Below are 14,694 nucleotides of genomic sequence, written 5' to 3' on the forward strand. Positions count from 1 at the left end.
CTGCTAAGAGCCTTTTTCCAACTAAGATCATATTTACAGATTCTGTTGCAAATATCTTTGTACTATTCAACCATGACAGTAGGACGTGGTATAAAATAATCTCGATTATTGTTAAAAGGAATATTGTGTGGAGAAGCAGAGAGGAAAAAGAAGAGGAGGAAGCAAAGATGAAGGAGAGGGAATCATAAAATGCATCCACAAATTAATTGTAGTTAACTCTGATCTGGGTAGCAAGATCAAGGGTGATTTCTATGTTTTGTTTGTACTCTTCCAAGTTTTCTTAATTTACTACACACAGCAAAAACATCATACACCAATTTAAAATGCATGGAAGAAATTAACCCATTGAAATATATCAGGAAGTGTAAAGCAAAATGCCCCTGTAGTAAAAATTTGCTGGGAGGAAAAATTGATGAGAAATAATCAACAAATGCTGTTAAAATGTTGGTTTGGTTTGGTGTAGACAACCTTTGAGCTCTGAATGAAACCAAATTTCTTCACTATAATATTTTGATCTCTTTTAGCTTTCAGATTTTAAGATCCTAAGAAAACTTTATATTTTTAAAATTAATGTTCTAACATCTCCAAGGCCTTTGTGGTTGAGGTTTGAGTTTTTTTTTTCTTTCCAAAAGAAATTCTGGATCTCCTCCCAATAACAACTGAGAAAAGATGCATAAACCTATTCTTTTAAAAAAGAGAAAGAACAGAGTTCTAAATGGCACATAGAACTTGGTGTATCTTTAACTTCCATTATCATCTAAGATAAATGCATCCTGGTTACAAAAGACCCTGCTATTCTGGTGATTCGCTGCAATAGATTTGAGTTCAGAGCTGAGGGAGAATCAAACTACTTTGTGTAATAGGGGGGAGATCAATTTGAGGGGCCCCAGACACCAAGACAGGGGAGACTGGAGCCAGCTACACTGAGCACAGAATGGGGGAAGGAGACATTAAAAAGGCCAAAAACTGAGGAGAACTTTGGTGAAGAAAAATGTTGAAATGGGATTTCATGTTGCTGGCTAAGGAGTGTATGAAATAAACCCCCTCAATTTTCTCCCCCACAAATTCTTCAGTCAACTCTACCTTGCCCTCTAAGCCTTTTATGTGAGAGGGCTCTTTGAAGGAGCTTTAAGAAGAGAAAAAGAGAACAGCTAACATCTGGGTCACATAAACTTTAAAAAGAAATTAAGAGATGCCACTGGAAACCCATGTGCAGAGTTTTGAAAGTGTTATAATTTCCTCTTATTTCAAGATGTACCTCATTTGGAGAAATAGTCACCATTTAGAAATTCAACCCTTAAGAAATTGTATTCATGCAATATAATAACTGATTACAGTGGAAAATCATTTAAAAGAACTACAATAATGTCACGGCTCACATACAGAAACCAGCCCATTGGCAAAGGAACCCTTCCATCTGCAAAGCTGAGAACCAGAAACTGCCCAAGAAATGATCAATCCAAGACTTAAGAAGCTGAAATTAACTTATTGAAGGCAAAATTGTTTTGAAGCACTATTACTGTAAGTTGAATATTCATTTTTAAACCACTTCACTGAGTTCAAAAAGCACTGAGACCACTCTTTGTAGCTTGCTTTTGAACTCATTGTTATGCCTATGGCTGTTACACCCATAAAAGTGTGTTTTATTAATATTGTTTTTTAAAAAAAGAATCAAGTTTTTCTCCTCAAAATCTTCTTTCAAATCTGCAAGTCTGTTCCTATAGACCCTAAATACCTTTCCCCTAGCCCCAGTGGTACCATCATAATGTATACGTAATCTGGGTGGGCTGGAGATAAAAGACTCCGGTAGTTGGTCCTGTGCCTTGTGTTTAACCACTCTAATTTCAAGCCCACAATTGAAAGGGAATAACTCAATGGAGGGTACATCAATTCTCCCATGTGATCAACAAGATCCCACTCTCCCACTTACAAGACACACACAGACACACTAAATGTGTGTAAGCTGCAAATACACTGAGTTCAATGATCTTTGGGTTTTTTTTTGTTGCAGGTGCTCAAATAGAAAAAGTAAGAGAATATTTAATAAGAGTAGTAATTCACACTTACCCAAGACTGACATACTGGATAAAATCCAGCAGAAGGCCATATCATATACATCCACCCCCCTACCACCACCTTCCTTGGTAAGTTGTTTCCAAGAATATAGCAGCAAATTATAAATCTCTTGACCATAGGTCTACATGCCTCTAACCTGGAAGTACAAGGAAGGTGGGAACAGGTCCTTCCTAGCTGCCTGAAGGATCTGCTAGCCACCCCTCTGAATCAATACACAAATTTGCTATCAAGATGCTACAGACCAGAACTACTACTTTATATACTTCACTTTTAAATGCTATATAGTTAATTATTGTAATATAAAACGTATTCAAATTGTTTTAAATTGTTACTGTTTGGGGATTTACATGTATTATACTTTTTGATTCAACAAATATTTATTCTTTAAAATTTTACTTTAAGTTCTGGGATACGTGTGCAGGTTTGTTACATAGGTATACATGTGCCATTGTGGTTTGCTGCACCTATCAACCCGTCATCTAGGTTTTAAACCCTGCATGCATTAGGTATTTGTCCTAATGCTCTCCCTCCCCTTGCCCCCCACCCCCTGACAGGCCCTGGTGTGTGATGTTCCCCTCCCTATGTCCATGTGTTCTCATTGTTCAACTCCCACTTATGAATGAGAACATGTGGTATTTGGTTTTCTGTTCCTGTGTTAGTTTGCTGAGAATAATGGCTTCCAGCTTCATCCATGTCCCTGCAAAGGATATGAACTCATTCTTTTTTATGGCTGCATAGTATTCCATGGTGTATATGTGCCATATTTTCTTTATCCAGTCTATCATTGATGGGCATTTGGGTTGGTTCCAAGTTTTTGCTACTGTAAATAGTGCTGCAATAAACATACATGTGCATGTGCTTTTAGGGTAGAATGACTTATAATACTTTGGGCAAATATCCAGTAATGGAATTGCTGGGTCAAATGGTATTTCTGGTTCTAGATCAAGAAAGATCAAGAAATTATATTTTAAAATTGAAAACAAACATCCAAACAACAGAGAAATGGTACGTGAATTGTGAGATATGCACTGGATGGAATGTTATGTAGCCCCTAAAAATCGTATGTATAAAGAAATAAGAAATCATAATGATATGATATAAAGTAGAAGCAGAAGGATAAAAATGTAAATACATAATTATAAGAAATCTTGGCATAGAAAAAAAGACAGAGAGGAAATATAAGAAAATAGTAACAATAATTACTTTGGATAGTGGAAGAATGAATGTTATTTTCTTCCATCCACTTTTTCTTGTTTTCCAAATTTCTCTTAATGAATATATGCTGCTTTTATAAAGGAAAAAAATATACAACAAAGAAAAAATAAAACAGAATTTTAAATCCTAATATCCAAAGGGAGTCATCACTCAAACTAGAAAAGTTGATTGAACAAGTTGTTCCTATTGAAAGAGTATATTTGTTCAGGTAATTATGCAGCATCTAGAAACACCAGACTTGGAAAGTGCAGAGACAATACTCTACAGTAGTAAAAGAAAGCTCCTTCCTTTCCCCATAATACAGTTTCCAAAAATGAATAAGATTGATGGAAACAGGCCTATGAGAGCTTCAGAGATTTAAGCAAAGTTTACCAATGCCCAGGAAAGTATAAAGTAGAATGTTGCACAAAAAGCTTACAGTCAAGTACAATTTAAAATCTAAAAGTGTCAGGGAAATATCCCGACTAAATGAAGGGTAATTGCACTGAAGCATCTGATCTCAGACTGTTCTAATGCAAAATCTTAAGTTTAGAAGATGCTGGAGAAGTAAAAATGTTAAGAAGTGATATGGACTCTATTTGTTAATAATGACACAAAGAAGGGATGCTAGCAGCCTGGAAGAATGAACAGAGAATCCTCAGCTTTTTAAAATATTTATTATGTGAAAAACTATGCTTACCATCTTATTTTTTAATAATTTAACTTTTATTTTAGATTCAGGGGATACATGTGCAGGATCGTTACATGGGAATATTGTGTGATGCTGAGGTTTGGGATACAAATGATCCTACCACTCAGGTAGTGGGCATAGTACTCAATAGGTAGTTTTCCAATCCCTGTCCTGCTCCCCTTCTCCTTTCTCTAGTAGTTCACAATGATTATTGTTCCTATCTTTATATCCTTGTGTACTCAATAACTAGCCCCCACTTATAAGTGAGAACTTGTGGTATTTGGTTTTCTGTTCCTGTGTTAATTTACTTAGGATAATACCCTCCAGCAGCATCCGTGTTGCTGCAGAGAACATGATTTTGTTCCTTTTTATGGCTATGTAGTATTCCATGGTGTATATATACCACATTTTCTTCATCCAGTCCATTATTGATGGGCATTTAGGAAGATTCCATGTCTTTGCTATTGTGAACAGTGCTGCAATGAGCATATGTGTGTGTGTGCATTTATGGTAGAATGACTTATTTTCCACTGGGTGTATATCCAGTAATGAAATTGCTGGGTCAAATAGTAGTTCTGTTTTAGGTTCTTTGACAAATATCCACACTGCTTTCCACAGTGACTAAGTAATTTACATTCCCACCAACGGTGTATAGATGCTTGCCATTTTGGATTAAATGGAATTCCTTTCCTTGTTTTTTTTTTTTTTTTTTTTAGAAAGAGTTTCACTCTTGTCACCCAGGCTGGAGTGCAATGGCATGATCTCGGCCCACTGCAACCTCCCCCTCTGGGTTCAAATAATTCTCCTGCCTCATCCTCCTGGGTAGCTGGGATTACCGGTGCCTGCCACCATGCCCAGCTAATTTTTGTATTTTTGGTAGAGATGGGGTTTCACCATGTTGGTCAAGCTGGTCTCAAACTCCTGATCTCAGGTTATCCACCTTCTCAGCCTCCCAAAGTGCTGGGTTTATGGGCATGAGCCACCACACCCGGCCATTGAGTGTCTCTTAAAATTAGACATAAAATATAAGTATAAACAGACAGATATGGGTAAAGACATGGCTTCAATTAGAGGTTCTCAAACCTGTCTGTACATTAGATTCATCTTGGAAACTTTAAGAAACACCAGGGCCTCATCCCCAAGACCCTCATTTAATTGCTCTGGGCTGTAAATGGGATGTGGGTATTTTTTAACTCCTCCAAGTGATTCTAATGTGATGTCCAGTTTGAGGAGCGTGGGATTAGGTGACCTCTGCAGGAACTTTCAGGATCCCTCTCATTTGCCCTTCACCTGCCCAGTTGCTCCCACGGTGGCCAGGAATAGTTAGCATGACTTGAGGAAACATCCTCTTATGAAACATTTAAGTATGTATTGGTACTCGCAGACTTGCCAACAGTATCTTGTAGCCTAGGGCTGAGAATGTGCACTTCTTGTGCAGCAGTCACATTAACGTCTACAAGAAGGAATCATGCCACCGCTACTTACTTTTAAAACAAAAGTCATCAAAAGATTTTACCAAAAGCTAATACAACACCCATTTCTTAAGCACTTTCACATATTACAACAGTTTGTAAAGGCAAAAGATTTGTCCTGATTTGAAAGGAATAGATTAAGAAAACAAAAAAAAAAGTGAAATTGTAGAGGAAGGTTAGAAGGGAAGGGTTTCACTTCCATAATTATATTGTGGCTGAGGTTTACATTATAATTCACTTGGTGCTAAGAATGTTACGAGTAATGCTCCAGGCACTGAAAGTGTGGATGTATGTGTGTACTTACATATGCAAATTAACATATAGGTAAACTACATATATATTACATAATGATGTTTATATGTATATGATTGTATACAAAGCCCTTCAAACATAAAATAAATAGAGAAGACTTGATGAGACCACAAAGTCCACACTTGACACATTGCATCATGAATGGATAGAACTCTAACGTAGACTCTTACCTGCCATGAAACCCTGGGCTAGTCATCCCTTCTGGGCCTTAATCTCCTCATCTTTAAAATTGGGGCACTATTACCCACACCTTAGGGTTTTATGAGACTTAAGTGTGGGAGCACTGGGGCCCACACATAGTAGTTGCTCAATAAACGTGTTGAATCTGAATGTAGCCACCCACCATCCTGGCTCCTGAGCACAGGAGAAGGGGTACCTGAAGCCCAGAAGGAAAATCAATTGCCCAAAGTCACACAGTAATCACTTACAAGGACCCAGGTTTCCTGACTGCTACTTTTCATCCCACTTTCTTCCCTTTAGGGTCCTCCTCTCCAAAGCTGACTATACCCTGCCTCCTTCCAGGACATGCCAATGGCTCCTGCCCTAGTTTGAAGACCCTAAGTCCAAGACCTTCTGCCAGAAATACACAAGGGAAGCCACAAGCACCTGGCAGTGCCCAACCCAATGTGACACCCACCCCAGCAACTCCTGGACTCCCAGAGCCCAGATCCCCTCCAGCCATTTTACTTTATTCCTGAATTGTGGCCCACAGATGCCAAGGATAGGGCCAAAACACTTTTTAAATATTTTCTCTTAATATTGCCATGGGCTTAATCATGCATTAACTACTATCTTATACCTGCTTCCCTGGAAGCAGATCCTGAGATGAGTATTCACATGCAAGTGGTTCATTAAGAAAGTATTTCTAGGAGAAACTGGGAAGGGAGATGAGAAGCAACAGAGGAAAGGGGAAGAAGCCAAGCAAGAGCGTGATTGCAGGCAAGTCCTGTCCTCAGCCCGAGCTCAAGGGGCACTCATGAGTGCAAGTTACACCTCAGTGTTTGTCCAACCTGAGGCAGGAGAGCTGCTGTTTGACGCTCGTGCGCCAGTTGGTCACTGGGTCCAATATCCCAAGGGCCAAGCCATGAAGAAAGCGGCAGGTGCAAGCTCATAGAAGTAATGCACATGGGTGATTGGGGATGAGCACAGGAAGACAGGGAGATCTGGGCAGAACCCCAACAGCATCCTCCATAACCGATTTCCCCAATATCTCAAAATCCAAAAAGTGAAAAGCCAGTCTCCATAGCCTGAGCACATTCTACAGAAACCACCATATGCACTGGAATTGGCTAATGATGGGATTTAGCAAAATTTAACAGGACAAGCCCGTCTTGTAGGTTGCCCTCTCTGCAAGGACTTGTTACAGCATAGTTTGAAAATTCAACAGATACTGTGGTAGGCTCAAGGGACACAAACACAATCAAGAGAAAGGACCCCTACCCTAGAGAAGCTCAAGGTTGTGGATAATCTCTCAAATGGACATTTTTGCCTGATTTTTCACTGAATCCTAAAAAATGCTCCATTCCATTCTCAATGATAGATGATTCTCCCTTCAACTTTACAGGATCGGCAACAATGCTTTTCAATACATCATGCCATATTGAGTTACAAAGAGATACTATCTCACAAGGAATTAACAAAAAGCTAAATAAAACCACAAGAAAGTAACACTAACACTATTTCAAATGATAATGATAATGACAGTCACCATGTGTGGGAGACATATAGTCATCAAATTTCTGAATATCGAAGTTATTGGATTAATCCCATAGCCTCCAAATAGAGGCCCCAACGTCTATCACAATCCAGGTATTTTGACTGGTAATTTGAGAGACATTAAAAGATATGCTAGAGTTATTAGTTCAAATTCACTACGTAAGTGTATTTACTTTTAACACACTTTATATGAGATGAGACTTCAAAGTAATGAGACTGATGATTAGATGTTCCTTGAGAAAGGAACGTATTAACATCAGATCTAATACACAGTCAGAACTTTCAGACTTGAGAAAGTCAAGATATGCAACAGTGCTACCCACAACCACACATACTCTGTCTTATAAAGAGCCTTTTAAAGAAGTAACAAGACTACATGGAGAATGCTAACAACATACAAGACACTGGGCCAAGCATTTTACAGAACTCCTTTAACTTTCACAGCAACTCCATCCATGGGAGAGAACACATTATAACCCCACCTTACAGAGGAGAAATCCAGTGCTTACAGATATTAAAAACTTCCCCAAGACCACAGAATTATTCAGAGTAGGACAAAACTCATACTTAAGTCTCTCAGTGCAAAATGCATACTTTTAACACCATATTGTGGCGGCAATGATTCAAAACCAGCTAACCTGGAATTGAACCATGGGGGTCCAGGCACCTTTATGGCTTATCCATGTCACACCAGGATCACACTTTCCAAGGCTCTGTCTCTACAACTATGGTTTTAACTTAAGATCATTTTTCTTCACTGTCCTTTTTACACCATTTTCTAAAACAAGCCAAAAGAAAAACTGTAGGTATTCATTATGTTATTAGAAATCAATCAATATTTTAGTTATAGAGATTACTTCAATATCACCATGTATTGCCTAAGCTACCTAGCCCCTCTTGATATCTTTAGCATTTTCCCTCACATATGGCTAATTCATTTTATGATTTTCTCTTTAAAAATTACATTCTTCACGGTATCCAAATGATTCAAAATCATTGCCTGATGTGACTGACTGCCAGATTTAAGTACATCATTAAAATTTACTTTGCCACATTATCATTAGCAAAAAAATAAGGGGGGGACAGCAAAAAAGAGAGTAAGAAATGATGGAAAGAAGTTTTAAAATTACCCCTGCTAAGTTTTCTGGAGGTGTTTTTGCAGTCGTTTGTGGATAAATGCATGTGTTTTTAAAGCATTTCTGATTCTAGCACTGTTCCCACAAATACTTTTTCTTCATTGATGGATGAATATAAAAGCAATGAAAAAATTGTACTATGGTAGATGGCCCATGTATATTCCACTATCAAGTGAATACAAAATTCTTATCACTATCACTTGATACAGTAATGTGTGAGAAGTCTCTCTAGCAATATTCCCCAGAAATTACCAAATTAAATAATTCACACACTCATGAAACATCTACCACATACAGAACCCCATATGCACCAATTCTAAATAGTACTGGATCTAGAAATGGAAAGTGACAAAGATGTGTCTGTGTTCCATAAAAGGTACACCAAAGGAATCTGAAGTCAAAGTTGAGTGAGTAGCACAAGCATTTGCGGAACATAAAAGAGAGCCATGAAGATAAAATGGAATTAAAGTTCAATTTTTAATAAATTAAAGGGAAAAAAGAATCATGTATCTAATTAAAAGAGAAAGCCACCAATCGTCAAGAGCTGTTTCAGGGTCCTAGAAATTTTCAGAATAACCCACAGAATGTATTTCTTACTTGCTGTTGATGAGCACTTCAGACTGCCGATTATTCACTTGATTATCACTCTTGTGGCGAAACTGAAAAATCAAAGTGTTTGTGAGAAAACACATTACAAGGTACTTTGTCAGCCCAAATAAGCACACTGGCAATACTTTGAGTTCATCCATTTAAACTGTGTTGTCACTGGTCTAAGATGACACTGTTTGAGCTTCCTGTGAACCCAGCTCTACATGTTCTAAATCTAAATCAAAACCCTTCTCACTACATTACACTCCGGATGTCACCAATGAAACAACAAGGCTAGCCACTACTCTTCCAATCTCCACACGTTTAGTTGCTTCTAAGAAGACAATATGCTCTCTACTGTACCTTATAGTCTCAGAGAAAACCATGTATTAATTTTGATGTCTTTAACAAGGAATGGGGCTTCCATTTCTCTCCCATGTGTACTGAATGCTTTATTAGAACATCATTCTTTCTGTTTTATGGATTTCTTTGAAGTCAAGAAGTTACTTGTAACAACATCAATTTTTATTCTCCAGAAACTCTAATTGTTAACAGTGATCTTATGAAGTACTGAGCATTTAAAGCAAAAATTAGAATCCAATACTGAAACACATTTGGTGTAGATTTGTGATTTATGTCCAAATGGTTGTATTTCTTATTGTTTAATCCAGTAATGTAAGCATCTTATATAGCTTGAAAGAATCTCAATATTAAGAGCTCTCTACTAGGCTCATAAATTAGCAGTCATTCAGGTAAGTCTTCCTATGTGAAATGTCAAGATCAGATAGTAGTAGTAGGCTATAAGAGAAAAAAAAGTAATATAGAGAAAATGGTAATACCATTAGTAATAGGCTATAATATAGTTATTTCAGCAAATTAGCCTACATGCACAGATGAATAGGGGTAGTCTTTTCAGGAGACAGAAACTTCGATTTCATAGACTTTAATCATCAGAATGTTTTCTTTTTTTCTTAAATACAAAATGTTGTGTCAAAATCACAAAATACAAAATGCTTCAACCAGCCCTTTTCCTTTTTCTACAGCCTTCCCAAATCCATCCCAATCTTTCTATTATGCTATGCCCAGTACATACAATTACTCAGAATGACAGGTATAAGTTAATAGATATTACCAGTAAAAATAAGAAAACAAGCTGTTTAGCATTTGTTAACATAAAAATAGTTTATAATATTGGTAAAGAAGTAAATTAAGTCACACGTCACCCATTGACATGAAAACTTCTTCCTACGAGTAGAACAACAGAAATGGAAACATTATTTGATCTGAGTGCACAATTTGGAAGGGTTGCTGAATATTCTCTCCTCCACCATATCTACACAGCATTCGTCTCCACTCTGCCCTGTGCCATGAAAAGTTGGGCTCTGTGGTCCCTGCCCTGTGGCTTCTGGTAAGATTTGGCCAACAGATAGTACTGGCAGAAGATTCGAGTCAGAGAAGAGTGAAATGAGGGAATTTATCCCCTGGCTTTCTTCTAGCTGGGTTAGCAATGGCTGCTTCCACAGATAGCCACAGCTGCTACAAACAGGCCTCAACTACGTCTCCAGGTCTGGTCACTCCTTCATTCCTTTGCCTCTTCAGGTCTAGTAGTATTGCCAACCATGTTGCTGCCATAGCTGCTTTTCCTTGCCCACACCCTTTGTGAATGATCCCATCATTATTAAACTCTCCAATCCACCCAATTTCAGGATAACCTCTGTGTTTTGCCAAGACCCTGACTGGTGAAGGTGTCCAGTTAATGAACTGGCACATAACATCACAAAAGGTGAAAGCACATTCAAGCATTAACTGCAATGGAATCAAAAGGAGACTTTTTGTTTAGTCATGTAAATCCCCTAAATTGACTAGCTGAACATCACAGAAAAAGACCAGTCAGCTCATCCCCCAAAAGCTGAGCAGCTCACTCTCGGGGAGATGCAATCACTTCTACTTCTGCTCAGGTTTTACCAACAGGACTTGATATTGGAGTAGATGGAGTCTGGAAGGATTAGAAATGGTAGTTTCAAGGCCAGCCTGACTCTTATTGACAATTTCTCCTCTAAGAAATAAATATGAAGTCTCAGAGGGGAACTTCCACAGGAAAGAAAGGAAGTAGAGGGCTAGCATTCATTGTGTACTCCCTGTGAGCTAGGTTCTATACCTGATGCTTTACACATATCTCTTTCTGTCTTCCCAACAGCTCTGGTGTCATTGGCCATGTTATACAGAAAAGGAAAGATTTGAGAAGTTAAGTCATTTGCCTCATGTCAAACTGTTAGTACATGGTAGGGTAAGGTGGTAGGATAGTAAGGTGTCTTTCTCCAAAGCCAATATTCTTTCTACTCTACCATTTATTCCTCTATGAAGTGTGACTATAATGAAGACCTTTAAGGCCAATATGTAGGAACTCATGCATCTAAATGAGTACCATTTCCCTGAAAAATCAGATAACAAGGAAAAACCACACATTTACTCCAAAGATGCCATTGCTCAAATGATTGTTGAAATTTCCTCTCTTAGAATTACCTCTGGAGCTCATAGCCCGTTCCTCAGAATGTTCTCTATCCTTTGAGAATTGAGCTCTATGTCCTTTGAAAAGACATAATGAGATGTCTCATGTTTTGAAATATATGAAAGCCACTCTTAGAAAGCATGTCTGGTTGATAAGATTTTTGATTAGGCTTGAGAAGTAGCATTTGTTTCCAAAGCTGTGAAGCCATTAAGTCATAAGACTACCTTGTACACTGACCTTCAGAAGACAATTCTATAAGAAGAGACCCCAAAGTACCTTGAACAACGGCAACCTCACAGGAATCAGTAAACTCCAGGAACATCCCAAGTTAGCCACTTTAATGTGATATTACTCATCAGTGTGGATGGATCCTATGTGTTTGTTAAAAATCTGGGGCCAGGCATGGTGGCTCATGCCTGTAATCCCAGGACTTTGAGAAGCCAAGGCAGGCAGATCACGAGGTCAGATCGAGACCATCTTGGCTAACATGGTGAAACCCCATCTCTACTAAAAATACAAAAAATTAGCCAGGTGTAGTGGTGCGTGCCTATAGTCCCAGCTACTCAGGAGGCTGAGGCAGGAGAATTTCTTGAACCCGGGAGGCGGAGGTTGCAGTGAGCCAAGATTGCGCCACTGCACTCCAGCTTGGGTGACAGAGCAAAACTCCGTCTCAAAACAAACAAACAAACAAAAAATTTCCAACACAGTAAAACCCCATCTCTGCTAAAACACAAAAAATTAGCCAGGCGTTGCAGCATACACCTGTAGTCCCAGCTACTCAGGAGGCTGAGGCAAGAGAATTGCTTGAACCCACGAGGCAGAAGTTGCAGTGAGCCGAGATCATGCCACTGCACTCCAACCTGGGTGACAGAGTGAGACTCTGTCTTAAAAAAAAAAAAAAAAACTAACTAACCTCAAAGGTTATAGTCAAAATGTGAACCATGAAATAGGCTAGAAATTTCATTAAGAAATGAAGAGTTATATCCTGTGTATTCTTTAAAAAATGATATATGAAGACACATGCATTATTTGTGTGTATGTGTGCTCTTTTAAAATGACTTGCATCAAATTGTTGATTTATCAAAAAATTATATGTAAGATAACTATGAGGAAATATCACATGAACCAACTTGATAAGTACAAATCTTCCCATATGTCTTCACCATACTCAACTACTCTTAGCAGGGGTGAGTTCCCACTTTCTCCATAATATCTTCCCTAATTCTCTTTCACACATCCCACCTCTGTTATCAATCTAGCTACTGAAGTTCATCTTCCCCCCTTAAAGAACCAAAGCACTTTGGTTCTTTTAAATTATGAATTTCACACCATTTTTATCTCATATTATTGTTGTTCATGAACATGACCCACCTCCCTCTACTGAATGTTAAGTTTTTTTTAACTTCATTTTCTGGTGTCTCTTTCATTTCTGCATTCTCCATATAGCTTAGCACAGAGGGGTGTGGTGAGTAAGTGCCAGTGTTCTGAAGCCAGATTGCTTGAGATGGACTATTACAGACTAAAACAACCATGAAAAAGTATGTCTGTTAAGCCAATAATATAGATAAGATGGAATCACAAAAAACACTCCGTTAATCTAAAAGTAGGGAGAGAAAAATAGAACGAAGAGCCAATGGGCCATATAGAAAGCAACAGCTAGATAATAGATGGCCTAACCATAATGATAATTATATTAAACATAAATGGGTTAAATATTCCAATTGAAAGGCAGAGATTTTCAGATTTTATTAAAAATTATTAGCCTACTATATATGCTGTCTACAAGAAAACCATTTTAAAGATACAGATGGGTTAAAAATAGGCAACAGGAAATATGGGTGTGAGCTCAGAGGAGTGACTTGGGCTAGGAATATAAACCTGTAACTCATTGGCATAGACAGTTATTGAGGGGGCACATGCAATCACTCAGGATGAAAATATAATTTGTCTGGATTTAGAATGTTTGGTTTTCCCAAGACTATGTTTTGTCTTTGAGTGAGAATGACTTCCTTTGGGTTATGCAGACTTTAAAATTCTCTATTGCCTTATATCTGACTTATTTACATTAGTTTCCTGACTTTTGAAGCTACAGTTGACCCTTGAACAACATAAATTTGAACTGCACAGGTCCACTTATACACAGATTTTTTTTCTCTAAAGGCTATATTGAGTGTGCTTGCTCTCCTGCTTCCCCTTCCTCTGCTTCTGCAACCCCTGAGACAGTAAAACCAATCCCTCCTCTTCCTCTTCCTCCTTAGCCTACTAAACATGAAGATGACAAGAATGAAAACCTTCATGATGATCTACTTCCACTTAATGAATAGCATATATATTTCTCTTCTTCATAATTTTCTTAATAACATTTTCTTTTCTCTAGCTTACTTTATTATAAGAATACAGTGTAGGCCGGGCGCGGTGGCTCACGCCTGTAATCCCAGCACTTTGGGAGGCCGAGGCAGGTGGATCATGAGGTCAGGAGATCGAGACCATCCTGGCTAACAAGGTGAAACCCCGTCTCTACTAAAAATACAAAAAATTAGCCGGGCGCGGTGGCGGGCGCCTGTGGTCCCAGCTACTCGGGAGGCTGAGGCAGGAGAATGGCGTGAACCCGGGAAGCGGAGCTTGCAGTGAGCCGAGATTGCGCCACTGCAGTCCGCAGTCCGGCCTGGGCGACAGAGCGAGACTCCGTTTCAAAAAAAAAAAAAAAAAAGAATACAGTGTATAATAAATATAACATACAAAATATGTGTTAATCAACTGTTTATGTTATTGGTAAGGCTTCTGGCCAACAATAGGCTATTAGTAAAGTTTTGAGAGAGTCAAAACTTATACATGAATTTTTGACTGTACAGGGAGTTGGTGTCCCTAACCCCCACATCATTCAAGGATCAACTATATTTGACTTTGTAACTCCTAATATAATGACAAGAATGTATAAGAATACCTAATATTTACCAGCTCTCAAACCTTAAACAAAGACATGTGATAAAGAATAAGTAA

The 14,694-nt window shown here is 38.3% G+C and overlaps 1 protein-coding gene across 41 annotated transcripts in view; it reads right to left on the bottom strand.

Annotated features, from left to right (window-relative positions):
* ATP8B4 (ATPase phospholipid transporting 8B4 (putative)) overlaps positions 1-14,694 on the bottom strand; it is a 323,617-nt gene that overhangs the window by 171,336 nt on the left and 137,587 nt on the right. For 35 of the 41 annotated variants that reach the window (NR_073597.2, NR_073596.2, NR_073598.2 and 32 more), the window contains one exon: positions 9,195-9,256. The exons of 4 other annotated variants lie outside the window; for them this stretch is intronic. Coding sequence is in view for 30 of the 37 variants with exons in the window: in XM_011522056.4 (XP_011520358.3) it covers positions 9,195-9,256 (62 nt within the window). In the remaining 7 variants the exon portion in view is untranslated. Of the gene's footprint in view, positions 1-9,194; positions 9,257-10,070; positions 14,685-14,694 lie in introns of those variants that run through there. 2 more of the 41 variants (XM_011522060.1, XM_047433098.1) reach the window with 2 other exon arrangements.

This window comes from Homo sapiens, chromosome 15 (assembly GCF_000001405.40).
Source record: "Homo sapiens chromosome 15, GRCh38.p14 Primary Assembly".
In the NCBI taxonomy this organism is placed as follows: domain Eukaryota; kingdom Metazoa; phylum Chordata; class Mammalia; order Primates; family Hominidae; genus Homo; species Homo sapiens.